We start from the raw sequence: 17,932 nt of genomic DNA, 5'->3' as shown, positions 1-17,932 counted from the left end.
TCAGGAGGAAACTAATTAGTAATGTGGGCAAGCAGCCAGGAGGGATGTGCAGAGTGGAATGGGCCCCAGATAAGGAGGAAGAAATGCTGTGATGTTTGGAGGACATCAGTCAAGTCCTTTCCCTTATCTGGGACCCTCACACATAAAATGGAGATGGCCTCTGGGGAGCTTTGCTTTCCTTTCTCATTGTTTCCTTAATAAGCAGAATGTGTCTTTTTGTGTTTTTGTCCTTGGCAATCACCTCCCTGTCATCTCCCTTTTGGCTCATCAAAACTAGAACAATTCAACTGCTTCAGAACTGAGTCACAGTTAATAACAGCTGGTTGCATCTTTTAAAATACTTAAACATAATTACATTTGTTGTTGTTTTTTGCCAAGTATTTTTGAATGTGGTGAATATGTTCCCCTCTCTTGCTGTCTCCTTCTGGAAACTTCTTAGAGCAGGTATCTATTTTATCTTCTCACCATCGCCTTCTTTGGGGTGCTGCCTCACTTCCATCAATGTGATTTTAACAGGGCTGTCAATCAAGGGACACCATACCCAACAACATACACCACAACCTCTGTCAAACACGTGAGCAGTTGACCCAGTCAGGACCCGTTAGACTCTCTCCTGGGAACTTTTTAATTGAGCAGCTCACGGGGATGGCCAAAAGCACTGCATCATCTTTACCCTCAGAGAAACCTATTAAACTTCCTGGGTGTCACACTCAGAGATTCTAATTCAGCCAGTCTGAAGTAGGGGGTCAATATTTAGCATTTTTAATAGAAAACGAACTTCAGAAACTCTGCTTTAGAAATAAAATCCATTATTCCCTTCTACTGAGACCCCCAGAACTGCCTTGATTTCTGTTCTTCCTGAAGGTGTTCAGCTGTCTGTTCAAATCTGTGAGCTACCAGTATTTTCCATTTTCCCTCCTGTGCCATTCTATATTATTTCATCTTTTCTTACTTAAATTGAAGTCAGTGTGTGTGGCTTGGAATCAAAGAACTTAATTGACACATTTTCTAAGCCTCAGTTTTCTCCACTGTAAAATGGGGAAAATAATTACTGCTCCATTGAGTGTTGCAAGAAACAATGCTTATAAAATGCTTAACACTGCACCTAGAAAATAGAACATTATTAACAAAACGGTAGTTATTATGAAATCTCACCATTATTGTTGGTTGGTAAGACAATTATGAAGTTTTCCTAGTCCAAACAGTGCTTAAAATATTTTCTCCCAGTGGCTTACAAACAGATATTTCATAACTGCCTAACTATTGACTTGTACCCAGAAGTGAAAATTCTTGCAAATGCATTTATGCACTAAATCGGCTTCTGAGGACCTGCAGTTCTTGGAAAACACCACCAGGGGGAGATTCCTGTTATTTGTAACCAGGCAAGGGAAGGAAGTGAAGAAAGAAGCTGAGTCAGAAGTTTGTGTACCTGATGGTAGCCCGGGATATTGATTAACAGGAGTAATCACCTGTTTTTTTGTCACTGTGAAAAACCTGAAATAATTACAACTTCAGAATGTGTTGTACTTCTCAATTGCTTTATGTTTTCAATTTAGCAAACTCATTCTCAAATTTCCCACAAGCTTTGCAAATCAGTGTGTGTGATTAAAAGGGTATGGTGGGTGGGTTTATAAAATTATAATGTACTTAAAGATCTAAAGAACTCGTATAAAAGATGAAATATCTTATTATATCCTTACTTGCTTGTTTAAAAGAATATGAACCTGACAGCAAATATTCTAAAATTGTCTAGTATCTTTCCCCCAAATAAGTTAAAATCACATTACAAAGTTTATATTTATCAGAAACAAATTAGAAACATATCAAATTTGAAATTATCCACTATTCATCTTATACAACATAACCCCTAAAGAAATCACTTGTATTAGCTTTACAGCTTGGATATTACACAGGAATAAATATCAACCAACATTGCTATTTTATTGCTACCTGATCTACTACAGATTACTTTCATATGTAACTACATTAGAATGAAAATACTGGGGCTACTTTAGAAAAAGGACTGACTGTGAAGGTCAGTTTCCTAGAAACAAGAATGCCAAACTTCTATGACTACATGCACTTTTTCTAATTATTCATAATTAATCTTTCAGAAATTAGCTTTCATATACATCATTGGACTAATACATTTCCAGGGTGAGAATCTAAGACACTTGGGTACAATCAGTTCTTTGTACCAACTGAAGGAGGAAGGTTATCAACTACTTATGGGCAATATAGTTTTTGCTATCTTTCACTCCTTTTCTTTGGGAAATGAAGTAAGTGCCTTACCATGCAACAGGTGATTTCGGTTCCGGGAACAGAGAACAGTTAGAAATTTCACCTCATCTGTCCCCCATTTCTTCTCTCCAGCCTCATACAGGTCCTGAAGCCAAACAAAGCACAGGTCTAAAATTCCAAAAACGATGTGCCAGGACACAGGCAAATATTTCCAGAAGCTCAAAGAGCTGAGCTGGCTTAGTTTTATTTTGTTGGTGATGGGGTTGGAAATGGTAGTGGTGAGTGGAAATGACTCAGGATCCTTCCTCAGGCATAAGGCTGTTGGGACCCTGTCATACCCCCCTGGGAGTCAGGGCAAACACTAGCAGTTCCCTAGCTGGAGACTACATGGTTCTATCTTAAGAGCTAAAAGAAATGCCCTAGATTTGGGCTGTCCCCTACAGTTGCCACTAACCACATGTGGCTGTTTAAATGTTAATTGAAATTAAATACAATTTAAAATTCAGCTCTTCAATCACATTGGCCTCATTTCAAGTACCCAGCGGCTACAGGTAGCCGGTAGTCACCCATACAGGACAGTGCAGATGTGGAATGTTCTCATCACTGCGGGGAGTTCTATTGGATAGCCCTGCTCTAGAATGATCTGTGATTTTCCTGAGGCTACAGGTCTCACAGTAGAACCAGGGACCCATTGCCAATTGCTTACATTCCAACCAGGTAGGAATATAGGAAACTCATTCTGCTCAATTTAACTACATTATTGCTCAATCAGAATTACTGTTCATTTTTAATAAGCAGCTTGCCTGTTACATTTCTCAAAAAGATCTTAACTCACACATATTGTGGCTCATTGGGCTTACCTCCATATACTCCCCCATTTTTTCACTTCTTTCTCTGATTCCCTCACTGCTTTAGAGTCAATTCACATAATCATAAAAATTTAAAGCTGAAAGCGTTCATCTAATTCACCTAATTCAAAAGAGTTCATCTTATTCAGCACTTCTGAAACTTGAATCTCAACAGGCTTGTGACAATTTATTTTATGTCAACTTGACTGAGCCATGGGTTACCCAGATTTTTGCTCAAACATTATTCTGGGTGTTTCTGTGAGGGTTTTTGGATGATCCAATATGGAGGAGGGGCCCTCATACAATCAGCTGAAAGCTTTTGTTTTCAAGAAGAGGGCTGACCTTCCCAAGAGTGAGAGGGACTCCTCCTGCCTGACTGCCTTGAGCTAGGACATCAGTTTTTTTCCTGCCTTTGGACTTGAACTGGAACATCAGCTCTTCATGGGTTTCCAGCCTGCTGGCCTTCAGATGGGAACTGCTCCTAGTTCTCAGGCCTTTGGACTCAGACTGGAACAAAACCATAGGCTGGCCTGCATCTCCAGCTTGCTGATTCCCTCTGAAGATCCTGGTACTTGCCCAACTCCATCCTCTCTCTCTTTCTCTCACACACACACACACACACACACACACACACACACACACACACACACACACCCCTCTGTGTCTCTCTCGCTCTCTCTCTCTATTGGTTCTGTTCCTCTTAAGAATTCTGACTAATACATTGCTTTAATTAATAAAGCATAGTTGTGGGCTGGGCACGGTGGCTCATGCCTGTAATCATAGCACTTTGGAAGGCCAAGGCAGATAGGTTGCTTGAGCCCAGGAGTTTGAGACCAGCCTGGGCAATATGGCAAAACCCCACCTCTACCAAAAAAATATTTAAAACTTAGCCAGGCATGATGGCACACGCCTGTAGTCCAGCTACTCAGGAGGCTGAGGTGGGAGGATCACTTGAGCCTGGGAGGTGAAGGTTGCAGTGGGCCGAGATCATGCCACTGCACAACAGCCTGGGAGACAGAGCAAGACCCTATCTCAAAAAAAAAAAAAAAAAAAAAGAATAAAATACAGGTTAGTGGAAGTGACACTGATCTCTGAGGCTAGATCATAAACAATCATGCAACTGCCATTGTTTCTATTGGAATGCTTGCTTTCTGGGTGCTCCTTCTTGAAACCCAGCTGCCGTGCTCCAAGAAGCCCAAGCCACACACATACCTCTATCCCCTCTAATGAAAGCAACAGGTTCTTTTTTTTTGCATAAAACAAAGTTGTTCATACCTCACAAACTGAATGGAACCAATCCCTCATTATGGTTATGTATTGGTTAAGAATACTGGGTCTATGGTCAGGCGCGGTGGCTCATGCCTGTAATCCCGGCACTTTGGGAGGCCATGGCAGGTGGATCATTTGAGGTCAGGAGTTCAAGACCAGCCTGGCCAACATGTTGAAACCCTATCTCTATTAAAAATACAAAAACTAGCCGGGTGGTGGTGGTGCATCCTGTAATCCCAGATACTCAGGAGGCTGAGGTGGGAGAATTGCTTGAACCTGGGAGGGGGAGGTTGCGGTGAGCTGAGATCACACCACCACACTCCAGTCTGGACGACAGTGAGACCCTGTCTCAAAAAAAAAAAAAAAAAAAGAGAGAGAGAGAGAGAGAGAATACTGGGTCTAGATGCCAATTGGTTCAAATCCTAGCTCTGCCCTTTATTATCTTTCTGAGCTTGAGCAAGGTACTTGACCTCTCTGAGCCTCAGTTTCCTTGTTTGTAAAATGGGGATAGCAATACTTACCTTATGAAGTTATTGCAAAGATTCAATGACATACTTAATATAGAATTTAGAACAGTGGGCCACGCGCGATGGCTCATGCCTGTAATCCCAGCACTTTGGGAGGCCAAGGCAGGCGGATCACCAGAGGTCAGGAGTTTAAGACCAGCCTGGCCAACATGGTGAAAACCCGTCTCTACTAAAAATAGAAAAAAATTAGCCGGGTATGGTGGCAGGCACCTGTAATCCCAGCTATTTGGGAGGCTGAGGCAGCAGAATCACTTGAACCCAGGAGGCGGAGGTTGCAGTGAGCCAAGATCATGCCATTGCACTCCAGCCTGGGCAACAAGAGTGAAACTCCATCTCAAAAAAAAAAAAAAAATTTTAGAACAGTGTTTGGTACCTGGTAATGACCCACTTTTTATTAGCTATTATCGTTAGTGTTATCTGGCCACAGCTGATTAGACCATGGGTTGGTTCCAGGACAACCATCACTGGGCTGGGAAACAGAGAGGCAAATGCCTCTTGGGGTTTGCTATTAATTTTACCCAGCAGGGTATACACTGTGTCAAGCTATTTTATATAGGTCCTATCAAATGTCCTCTTTGATGAAGTAAAAGTGCACAGTGAACAGTCCCTTTCACCTCCACGGGATTCGGAAGACAGTGGTTCTCTGGGATTGCCACACAATGGTCCTAATGTTGAGAAACTTGGAACCCAGGAGTGCTTATATAATGATGTCCAGCCCCAGGTACCTCTGCAAGAAACCTGTTATTAAAGGCTATCTGTGGGAATATTTTTAAAGAACATATCCAAGCCTGGCTAATATACACTGTAATATAAGTTGCTATCCACCCACTAAGGCCTGTCTCATTGGCGAAAGAGAAGAAAGCTGGAAGAAAGAAGCTGCAGTTCTACCAACCTGGGCATCCTGTCTCACGAGAGCATCGTCCAGATAATTTCCTTCATCCCTCCCACCCTGAGGATGAGAAAAACAAATAAAAAATAATTCGAGAGTATACATGAAGATCTGGGGACACCATTAAGATAGCAGGTCTAGAGTAATGAGACAAAATACCACAAGAATTGGAGCTTCAGACCCAGGGAGGGAGGACAGACGTCCTCTAAATGCGCTCGCATTATTACAATGGCTCTGATGTGTGCCTAGAGGGCTGAGCCTCAGTGTGGCCCCTAACGTTGCATGAGTGCCTCTGCCAATAGCAGGAGAAGCTTCCCAAGGACAGCTCCCTCCACTATCTCCTGGCCTCCCCCACCACCCCACTCTCCTGTGTCTTCCCAGCTGACTCATGCCTTCCTAACTGGCAAATCTACATTGATCAACCTCTGCCAAAAGGGGGTCGGGATGTGCATGTAGTTCCAGCTACTCGAGGCTGAGGTGGGAGGATGTCTTGAGGCCAGGAGTTCAAGGCAGTGAGCTAAGATGGCACCTGTGAAGAGCTGGCCTGGGAAACATAGCAAGACCTTGAATCTTAAAAAAAAAAAAAAAAAAGGTGGGGAGGTTGGGAACAGAGGAGAGTCGAGAGAATATGAGACCTATGGTGGGACTTGAGGATCCCATAAAAATGTCCCCCTACCCCTCACCAACACCAGCTCACAAGAAGGCAGGGTGGAAGCCTCTGAAGAATGCTAACAAATGATAAAATGGGCTACTTTCCTCTAGTTTTTAGGCTATTTTTATTGTTATACTGTCTCGATGTTCCATGGTCTAGGCATGGCTCATCAGAGTGGTAAATATGGGAGGAAAAGAGAAAGTGGGAAAGAAATATGAGACACAGGCAGGCGTTACTAAGTAAATATTGGAGACAAGAGCAAAGTGGAAATTGGAGATGATTTCCAGGGTTCTGCTTCTTTAGGTGTAGGAGGAACAACAGCAATATTAACAGAAACAGGCAAGTCCGGAAGAAGAGCTGGTTTGAAGGGAAAATGAGTTCTGGTTCAGTTCATTAAGGGTATAGTAGAATATCTGTAATGAAACATCTAAAAAGCAATGTGAAATGAGAGTCTCAAGCTCAGGAAGGAGGCCGGGGATAAAGATGCAATTGGGAAGTGATGTGAAATGTCTGAAGTCTCCAGCTTCCCTTTTCAGGCAACCCTGCCCCACCTAGCTCAGTCCTGCTTTATTTTCCAGCTGGAATTTTCCAGGTAGCTTCCTACCTGGTCGTCCAGCCTCCAGTTCCTCTCCACTGTTCATCCTACACGTCACTATTACATTACTCTTCTGAAAGTGCAGCTCCAGTCACATCACTCCCATCATCGTTGTCATCATCACGTCATCTACTGCTCCCAAATAAATAAGTGTAAACTGCTCCCAACATAGAATTCCAGTTTATCCTCCCACCCTGTTTCCAGAATCACCAGCCCAACTGTTCACCCAGTTGTTCCCTGAACCCCATGTTCCCTGCCTTATTCTTGCTGTTCTTCCTGTCTGCAATACACCCACCCACGTCTCTGCCTCTTGAAATTCTAGTAATCCTCCAAGTCCTCTCTGAACCAGCATCTCTGTCATGAAGGCTTTTCTTTGTTTCTACAACCAAATTTTCTCCTTGAATCTTCTTTTTCCTATGCGCCTCTCCTTTGGCATGTAATCTTTTCATGCCTTCTAGCAACTGTGTACCTGATGTATTCCCTTATGACAATATATACTCTTAAGGCCCAGGAACTGCCTCTGAATCATCTTCATAACTCTCAATGCACTGAGTGACAGGGGGACCTGGCAGGTGTTAGGTACTTGTAAATATCAAATTAAAGTAGAAAAAATGGGCAGGCAGGATTAGCCAGAGTCTCTGAAGGAGAAATAAGATAAAGGAACAGAGGGGTCTGAGAACACTACCTGGGGAATATCCACATGTCAGGGGCTGAAAGGATGAGAAAGGCTGGCAAAGGGGATAGAGTGGACATTTCGATAAAACCCGCCCCCCATCAGAAGCAGTCACTCACAGCTGACAGAGACACCAGCACTCGCTGGAACATGAACGATGTGTCAGAGCGAATGTCATCTTCAAGGCTCCGTCCATATTCTAGCAAGAGAGTGAAATTAGCTACTTCAGAATTAAGAGTCTTGCCCAATGCCCTGTCACACTCCAGAGCAATCTGTCCCCTCAAGACCAGCCTGCTTATGGAAGCAGCTTATCATGAGGTTTTTTCACCCCACACACAGTTTTTCAAAAACTAAACTCTGGTAAAATGGTCAAGATCAGCTTATCCTGTCACACGATATTCCTGTTTTTGTTTTGTTTCTTTTGAGATGGAGTCTCATTCTGTTGCCCAGGCTGGATGGAGTCTGGAGTGCAGTGGCACCATCTCAGCTCACTGCAACCTCTGCCTCCTGGGTTCATGCAATTCTCCTGCCTCAGCCTCCCAAGTAGCTGGGATTACAGGTGTGCCCCACTATGCCCAGCTAATTTTTGTATTTTTAGTACAGACAGGGTTCTGTCATTTTGGCCAGGCTGGTCGTGAACTCCTGACCTCAGGTGATCCGCCTGCCTTGGCCTCCCAAAGTTCTGGGATTGTAGGCGTGAGCCACCGCACCCAGCCAAGATATTCCTGTTTCTTAAAATGTGGGGTTGAAAAAGCTGGGTCTGAAATCCTCCCTCTGTGCTTCCTGCCACCCAGGGGTCCGATCTGAACGTGGTTCTCAGTGACACAGAGGGAACCACAGCTGTGGAGCAGCCTCTGCTGCTTCACTGATGGAAAGCAACCAGATAGGAGCTTCTGAACCCAGCTTTGAGGTGGGGCTGGGGTTGGAGCGCTGTCAAATGCAAATCCTAGCATATGCCTCTCTGCCACGTCTCTCACTTGGGAGGTTCTGACAGGTTATCCATGAGAAGCTCCACGGCCGAGCGCAGTGGCTCATGCCTGTAATCCTAACACTTTGGGAGGCTGAGGAGGGCAGACTGCTTGAATCCAGGAGTTCGAGACCAGCCTGGGCAACATGGTGAACCCCCATCTCTACAAAAAATACAAAAATTAGCTGGGTATGTTGGCGCATGCTTGTAGTACCAGCTACAGGGGAGGCTGAGGTGGGAGGATCATCTCAGCCTGGGGAGGTCAAGGCTGCAGTGAGCCATGACCATGCCACTGCACTCCAGCCTGGGCCACAGAGCGAGATCCTGTGTCAAAAAAAATAGGCAGGGGGAGCTTCAGCAAGAAATTAAAAATCACTTCTTCATAATTAATTTTTAAAAAGCAAAAACGAAAAGAGAAGCTCCAGCCCTTCACAGCCCTCAGGGAAGAAAACCCTCATTGGGCAGATGTGGGGATTGGGTTGCTAAATCCAGACTCCTAAGGTTTAGAATCTCCTGCTCTGAACACTTCCCACAAAGCTCTTATTGTGGTTGTTTTCTTTCTATAAAGGTAACACATGTTGACCACAGAAGGCTTAGGAAAAAACAAATAAGTAAAAAGAAGGGGCAAGGCGAGGAACTCCACTGCAGTCTAATCACCCAGAAATAAGAATCATTGACAACATTTCTGTAAATATCCTTCCTCATTTTCCCCCACATGCACAAATTATTTTCATTTATTTAAAAAATACTGTGTTATTAACTGTGTTAATTTTTTAAAAATGGGATCATAGCATACTATTTTATGGCTTGTCTTTTTCACTTACATATACCAAACCATTTAATAAATATTTTAATAGTATTCTTGGCCAGGTGTAGTGGCTCACATCTGTAATCCCAGCACTTCGGGAGGCGGAGGTGGGCAGATTGCTTGGGCCCAGGAGTTTGAGACCAGCCTGGGCAGCATGGCGAAACCCCATCTCTACAAAAAATACAAAAATTAGCTGGGTGTGGTGGCGCACACCTGTGGTCCCAGCTACTCAGAAGGCTGCAGTGGGTGGGTTGCTGAAGCCCAGGAGGTCGAGGTTGCAGTGAGCTATGATGGGGCCATTGCATTCCAGCCTGGGCAACAGAGTGAGACCCTGTCTCAAAAAAAAAGGCTAAATAAAAGAAAAAAATACTCTTTAATATAAGTTTTAATGACTACATAATAGTTCATTGTGTAAGTGTATAATATTTTGTTTAGACAATCTGCTACTCTTGGGCATTTTTAGCTAATGTAGACAATGCTGAATAAACACTGTGAGATCTGAACCTCTGTGCATTTTTAGTTATATTCTTAGGGCAAAAAGTCAGGCATTTTTTAAAGGCACTTCATACGTATCACCCTCTGGAGGTCTCTAAGGGGGAGTGAATGGCTGTCATTCTGATTTGGCTGGAGGACGTACAGTCCAGTCTGAAGGGAAGAATTTGGGCCAGACGGCCCCTCCAGACCATTCCTTGGAATGCTAAGATCTGCTGGTGCCACCACTTTTGAACAAGTACCTTAGATTCTTTGTCTGATAATAAGGAACAACTTTCCAACTTTTAGGGTAATAAAATACTGCACTGGGTAGGCAAAATAGAGTGTCATCTTCACCTGAGAAATCTTAAGGAGCCAACAGACCGCCATTTGGCTAAACAGGGATCTCCCTCGAAGCAGAGCTTGGCACCGAGGATCCCTCATGCTCAGCGTTCTGTGAAAAGTCTAATCAGCAAACAACAACCCGCTGCTACCCTCATTCTCTAATCACAGCGAAACCTCAGCCAGGGCCACTGCGGATGTCACGTACGCTGCTGGTAGGTTTGGCTTATGCGCCGGATCTCCTCAGGGGTCCGGGAGGCCAGGATCTCAATTAGGCAGCCCTCATCAGTGCCGGCTCCCTAAACAAGAAACCAGAGGACAGGGCTATATGAGCCAGTTTACAAAGCTGAGGCCCAGACACAGAAGGAATACATCTGTCATGAATCTGCAGAGAATAAAGACAATCCACTGCGTTCTAACAACAGGGTTTGTTCACTTTTATTGTCCCACCCGAAACCCAAAGTGTTTGCCGTAACAATTATGAGTAATAACAAACATTTCTAGGCTGTTTATTATGTGTTCGTTACTGTGCCCGGGTAGGTATGGTTTCTGCCCTCTGGGGACTTAATTTTTCCTTGACCTCTTCTGCTCTCTTCCTCTGAAGGGCAGAATTTTCTGGCAAAGACTTTGTCACCTCTTTGCTTTCCCAGAGCCTGGCCCAGAACCTTCCACAAGTCTGAGTATTTATTGACATGGTTGAGGAGGATAATTGTACTCCTCGACTTATGATGAGGAGTACAATACACTGAAAATTTTTAAGTAGAACCATCCTAAGGTGGGGACCATTTATATTTGCATTACATACTTGGTCATTAAAATTTGGCAGACCAGGCTAGGGCACAGTGGGTACGTCATCTAGGGAAGCCAGGAACTCTTTTGCCAGAAGTAAGCCTATAGTAGACCTGGAGGCCCCTAAAGTGTCAGTCATAAAGTTACATATCTCAAAAGTAGTTAGCTGTCTAGAGATAGCTAAAAGTCTCTAGAGCTGTACTAAAAGCGACAATTATAATCACTCCCCATTGAGCCACAGGAAGGAGCAAATGATTCCCTAACTTTTTGGAAAAGAACTTTTAAATTATAATTGGTATAATGTAAAGTAATGATGTTTTCAAGTTGTCGTAAATGAAGGAAAATCTCCTATACTTTACACCTGCTACTCTCAGAAGGCCTTGGTCATAGTTTCTTTCTTTTTTAAAAAAATTTAACTTTTACTTTAAGTGCAGGGGTACATGTGCAGGTTTGTTATATAGATAAACTTGTGTCATGGGGGTTTGTTGTACAGATTATTTCATTACCCAGGTATTAAGCCTAGTACCCATTAGTTATTTTTCCTGATCCTCTCCCTCCTCCCACCCTCCATCCTCCAACAGGCCCCAGTGTGTGTTGTTCCCCTCTATGTGTCCATGTGTTTTCATCATTTAGCTCCCACTTGTAAGTGAAAACATATGGTATTTGATTTTCTGTTCCTGCCTTAGTTTGCTAAGGACAATGACCTCCAGCTCCATCCATGTTCCTCCAGAGGACATGATCTTGTTCCTTTTTACAGCTATTCCATGGTGTACATGTACCACATTTTCTTTATCCAGTCTACCATTGATGGGCGTTTAGGTTGCTTCCATGTCTTTCTTATTGGGTGACAGTTTCTTAAGAAAGCACATCAGCGTTTGCACCAACAGCACCAAGAGCACGAGAGGAAGAGCACAGACCTTCATGGCCCTTCGCAGCTCTTGCACGTCATACAGCACCGTGGGCGTCATCATCCCCACAATCACCTGCTCGAAGTTGCCACTCAGTTCTGACTTCAGGTCGTCTATCAAGTCCTGCAATGCAAGAAAGTAGCTCCGCTTAACTGCTATAGCAAATTAGACCAGCTACTCTCCAGGTGTGGTCCAGGGATGTCTGGGGTCTCCAAGACCCTTTCAAGGGGCCTGCAAGTCAAAACTATCCTCAGAATAACACTCAGATGTTATTTGCCTTTTCACTGTCATTCTTCCACAAGCATACAGTGGGGTTTTCCTAAGGCTATTTGACATTGTCTGTGCATCAACAACTGTCTGTTCAAATACTCCCCCCATTTTCAAGTACATATCTGTACAAGCCAGATTTTCTTCATATACCCCAACCAAAACCACATATCATAACAAATTGAAGTAGAAATAGATATGAGAAGCCATCTGTCTTCCATTAAGCCAGACATTAAAGAGATCTGCAAAATGTAAAACAATGCCAATCTTCTCACTAAATGTTTTTTCGTTTTGGGATATATAGCTATTTTTCATTAAAATGTTATTTACAGTAACATACAATATACTTATTATTTTTACTAAGTTAACAAATATCTATTTTTAAATGCCCTCAGTTTTAGTTTCTAATAGGGCAAATATCAAAAGATATAACCCACAAAACCAAAAGTCCTAAAAAATTTAAGAGGTAAAGGAACTTTGAGGTGAATATGTTTGTAGACACCGATGTAAATGTATTTGCCTACTTAACAATATGTCTTGAATATACTTCCAAGTCAATATTCACTGATAACCTTTTTAGCAGCTGTGGAGATTTCTATAGATAGGTGCAACATAATTTCTTTTTTTTTTTTTTTTAGATGGAGTCTTGCTCTGTTGCCTAGGCTGGAGCGCAGTGGCACGATCTTGACTCACTGCAGACTCCGCCTCCTGGATTCAAGCGATTCTCCTGCCTCAGTCTCCCAAGTAGCTGGGATTACAGGTGCCCACCACCATGCCCAGCTAATTTTTTTGTATTTTTAGTAGAGACGGGGTTTCACCATGTTGGTCAGGCTGGTCTCGAACTCCTGACCTCAAGTGATCCACTCGCCTCGGCCTCCCAAAGTGCTAGGATTACAGGTGTGAGCCACCACACCCAGCCTAATTTCTTTAACTAGTCACCTGTTTCTATTTTTCTACTGTTATATACATAAGGCATTTAGTTGTATCTTTGTGATCATTCATGACTATTTCTTAAGGCTCAATTCCTGAGATATAGTTTCCAAATATAATTATTTGGAAAATGGACCAAATTCTAAAGATGTTTATTCACATTTCCTCCTGGAATGGGTCAGAGAGTTTAAGAACTTGTTTAAGATCAATTGACGAAGAAGGAGCTGAATCGCTATTCTTTTTTTTTTTTTTTTTTTTTTTTTTGAGATGGAGTCTGTCTCTGTTGCCCAGGCTGGAGTGAAGTGGCATGATCTTGGCTCACTGCAACCTCCACCTCCTGGTTCAAGCAATTCTCCTGCCTCAACCTACAAAGTAGCTAGGATTACAGGTGCTCAGCACCATGCCCGGCTAATTTTTGTATTTTTTAAGGAGAGATGGGGTTTCACCATGTTGGCCAGGTTGGTCTCAAACTCCTGGCCTCAAGTGATCCACCCACCTCGGTCTCCCAAAGTGCTGGGATTACAGGTGTGACCCACCACACCTGGCCTCAAGAACATCTTTAAACAAGACAAAGGATCGATCTTTTAAAACACAAGGTCACTTCGGGAACCTAGATCAGGAAGAGGCCCTGCTTCCTGTTGCTGCGAAGTCAGCCAGACAGAGCAGGAAAGACTGTGGCCTACCCTGCCGATGGTGCTCTTGTAGGCTGTCCTGATCTCCTGGCGCTGGGCGGTGTTGCGGTAGGCAAGGACGCTAATAATGGCGTCTTCATCGGTGCCTGGGGGAAGAAGGGAGACAGCAGGTAAGTGTGATTTGAGAGAGGAATGAGAAAGCAGGTTCCTCTGTGGACATTGGAGTTACCCAAACACATGCAGAGGGCTTTCTAAGAAAAGAGGCCCTTATTCAGAGGGTTTGTCTACTTTTTGGGAAACAGATGCTAGGTTCGGGACTTAGCCTCTCCTTTAATTAGCTGTTTACTACTGAAGAAAATGGTTAACTTTCTAAACATTAGTTTCCTTATCTGCAAATGTGAATGATGACAGTGATTTCCCTCGATAGGCTGCTGCAAGTGTTAATATAATTAAATGCCTAGCACTTACTAAACATTTAATAAATGTTGGCTGGAGTAATTTTTTCTCTCCTCTAGAATATTTTTTTTTTTTTTTTTTTTTTGAGAGAAAGTCTCACTCTGTCACCCAGGCTGGAGTGCAATGGCGCGATCTCAGCTCACTGCAACCTCCGCCTCCTGGGTTCAAGCGATTCTCCTGCCTCAGCCTCCTGAGTAGCTGGGATTACAGGGCTGTGCCACCACCCCCAGCGAATTTTTGTGTTTTTAGTAGAGACAGGGTTTCACTATGTTGACCAGGCTGGTCTTGAGCTCCTGACCTCAAATGATCTGCCCTCCTCGGCCTCCCAAAGTGCTGGGGTTACATGTGTGAGACACCACGCCCAGCCATCTCCTCTAGAATTCTTTTCATGTCTTTTGAATCTCCTCTCTCTCTCTTCCATATTCTTGCCTTTTTTTTTGTTTTTATCTTTTTATCATCTCCTCTGAGTTTTGAAACAATTCAAACTTGTCTGTTAATTCACCAATTTGGCATTTTGCAGAGTTTAAGTTGGCTGTTACTGCATTCACTGTGTTTTAAAATCTGGAACTATGTTTTGCACTTCTAAGCTATCTTTCCTGAACACAAATGGTTCCCTTTTAGAACTGCTGACAAATTACCATGATACAACATCTTACCAAAACTTTAAGCAAAAATTACAAATTAAAAATGTTCTAAGTTTTGCTTGCCTGTTTCTTGCAGCAGCTTTAACAAGGAGACTTTATTCTGATTTTTCAGATTGGTCCCTTGTCTTTATAACAGCTGGCTGTTCATAAATGTTTGGTGAATCTTCTGTTTCCTCGTTGTTTGTGCTGTATGGGGGGTTGGAATGGGTTTCAGAAATGATTCTATTGAAAATATTTCAGGGAGAAATGAAAAAATACAGCCAAACTTTAGTTATCCTTGGCAAGGTTAGAGATGCAAAAAGATGTGAGGTGTGGAGAGGAAGCTATAGAACTTTAAGTTTACATACCTTGGGGACCTACTTTCTGTTCCTTTTTTTTTTTTCTTTTTTTGAGATGGAGTTTCGCTCTGTCACCCGGGCTGGAGTGCAGTCCAGCTCACTCCCTCTCCCTCCCAGGTTCAAGCAATTCTCCTGCCTCAGCCTCCCTAGTAGCTGGGATTACAGGTGCCTGCCACCATGCCTGGCTAATTTTTTTTTGTATTTTTTACTAGAGATGGGTTTCACCATGTTGACCAGGCTGGTCTTGAACTCCTGACCTCAGGCGATCCACCTGCCTCAGCCTCCCAAAGTGCTGAGATTACAGGCATGAGCCATCATGCCCAGCCGTGTTCCTATTTTTAAAAAGGAGAGGACAATCCATATAACAATCAATTTCTCCCTTGGCACTCTCAGCTAGGAGGGGGTGTGGAAGGGGCAGAGAGGGTTCATTACCTTTTGTTCATTCCCTGTTTCTGTGAAAGGGATCACTCTTCCCCCCAGTCAAGCCAAGCTGAAATCCTCAAAATAGATTCAATTTTTTTTTTTTTTTTTGAGACAGAGTCTTGCTCTGTGGCCAGTCTGTAGTGCAGTGGTGCCATCTCGGCTCACTGCAACCTCTGCCTCCCGGGTTCAAGCGATTCTCCTGCCTCAGCCTCCCCAGTAGCTGGGACTACAGGTGCACGCCACCACGCCCAGCTAATTTTTGTGTTTTTAGTAGAGACGGGGTTTCACCTTGTTGGCCAGAATGGTCTCGATCTTTTGACCTTGTGCTCTGCCCACCTAGGCCTCCCAAAGTGCTGGGATTACAGGCGTGAGCCACTGCACCCAGCCCAATAGCTTTGATTTTTTTACCCTCTCCTTTCCTCTTCATTCAAGTCCACGGTCATGCAAAATGTTGCTTTACAGCCTCTTTTGCATTCTTTCACTCTTTTTATTTCCTATCACAACCATTCCAATTCAAGATTTCAGGGTTTCTTCTTAGACAAGTGCAGATGTCTGCTAACTAGTATTCTTAACTCCTGGTTGGTCTTCCCAGAGTCTTGCCAGATTCATTTTTGTAAAAAGAAAAACTCTCACAATGTCTCTCCCCTGCTCAGAAATACACAATGGCTCCCCATCATCTGCTGGATTTACTTTAGGCACTGCAGCCTGACATTTGAGACTCTCTACAGTATCCCATTCACTATTGTAAATAGCCACATAAAAGGACACTAGGCAGCCAAATTCATGGACTCAGCTCTTGAAATATTGTGCTTTACCCAACTGTGCTGCACTCCAGGCTCCTGACCCCCTTCATTACCAGTCTATTGGTTTATATGTCCTCTTAACCCCCTCCATTTAGCATCATGATTCTGTCATATGTTGTTTCCCAGCCAGTGCCTGTGGGTCATTCCCGCATGTCTGTGATTCTTATGGGTGCTTTCTCAGTAGCACCCCTAAAACCTCCTTCTGGTACCTGCTTTCTCAGAAAGCTCCCAACCAGCCTACTTCTGCTTTGCAAGTACCTCCTGCTGATACAGGAGATAGAAAGAAATTGTTTAAGCAGATAGTGAGGGCAGGTCGGGTGTGGTAGCTCATGCCTGTAATCCTAGCACTTTGGGAGGCTGGGGTGGGTGGATCACTTGAGGTCAGGAGTTCAAGACCAGCCTGGCCAACATGGTAAAACCTTGTCTCTATTAAAATATAAAAGTTAGCCAGGTATGGTGGTGGGGGCCTGTAATTCCAGCTACTCAGGAGGCTGAGGCATGAGAATCACTTGAACCCGGGAGGTGGAGGTTGCAGTGAGCCAAGATCATGCCAGTGCATGCCACAGCCTGAGTGACAGAGCGAGGCCCCATCTCAAAAAAGAAAAAAAAAACAAAAAACAGATAGTGAGGGCAAAAGAGTCCTTGGCAGAACTTCCCTTGTAACAAAAAGCAGCCCCCAAAATCATTTTTTTTTCTAACAAAGAGCAGCCTGAAAAATCAAGCTACAAACGTAGATAAGGAAACTGAAAGCTTGCACAAGGGAATGCTGGCCGCTGTACCAACAGAAAAGGGCTACCTGGGGGCCAGGCATGTCCACCATGGAAACTCCACCTTCCCTTTTTTGTTAGCATGTGTACAGTAAGAAAGAAATGACCAATACAGTACAGCTCAGGCTGAAAACCCACCTGCATAATAAAAGACTGGGGTAGGGACTGTCAGAGATTCATGCCCTATGCAGATAGCACACCTGTTTCTAACTGGTTTTTGGTGCCCTATGTAGATCAGACATCAGCCCCCCAACCCCCAGTGCCTGCCACAGCTCATCTATAAACCCCTCTGCATTTCACCGTGAATTGGTAACCCATTTTTCTGGAATCCCTCTCTGTAGCAGAGAGCTAGTCTCTTTCTTTTCCCTATTAAACTTCCACTCTTAACCTCACTCTTTGTGTGTCTACGTCCTTGATATCTGTGGCCGTGAGACAACAAACCATGGGTGTCACCCCAGACGAGGCCACTTCACTGCTGCAAGACACTTTTCTGTGGATTTACCATGACTCCCCTAGACCTCCGCACATGCCATTCCATTCACCTGAAACACCTTGTCCCTTAATTCTGTTTACAGAAACTCAATCATCTCCCAAGGTCCATTTTAACATCTACATCCTCCAAGAAGCTTTGCCCGATGCCCCCAAGTGAAATGTGATCTCTTCTCTTTGAACCCCAGTGGGATCTTATTTGTG

General features: G+C 43.7%; 1 protein-coding gene across 11 annotated transcripts in view; it reads right to left on the bottom strand.

The window, feature by feature from the left end:
• ANXA4 (annexin A4) overlaps window positions 1-17,932 on the bottom strand; it is a 183,305-nt gene that overhangs the window by 8,626 nt on the left and 156,747 nt on the right. For 9 of the 11 annotated variants that reach the window (XM_047444083.1, XM_017003943.2, XM_024452835.2 and 6 more), the window contains 6 exons: window positions 13,860-13,954; window positions 11,989-12,102; window positions 10,491-10,581; window positions 7,814-7,893; window positions 5,778-5,834; window positions 2,293-2,386 (listed from right to left, as the gene is read on the bottom strand). In XM_047444083.1, the coding sequence (XP_047300039.1) occupies window positions 2,293-2,386; window positions 5,778-5,834; window positions 7,814-7,893; window positions 10,491-10,581; window positions 11,989-12,102; window positions 13,860-13,954 (531 nt within the window). Of the gene's footprint in view, window positions 1-2,292; window positions 2,387-5,777; window positions 5,835-7,813; window positions 7,894-10,490; window positions 10,582-11,988; window positions 12,103-13,859; window positions 13,955-14,971; window positions 15,095-17,932 lie in introns of all 11 variants that reach the window. The other 2 variants (NM_001320702.2, NM_001320700.2) reach the window with 2 other exon arrangements.

The sequence above is a fragment of the Homo sapiens genome, chromosome 2 (genome assembly GCF_000001405.40).
Source record: "Homo sapiens chromosome 2, GRCh38.p14 Primary Assembly".
NCBI lineage: Eukaryota > Metazoa > Chordata > Mammalia > Primates > Hominidae > Homo > Homo sapiens.
Note: the sequence above shows the minus strand (reverse complement) of the source record. Positions and strands in the feature narration are given on the sequence as shown.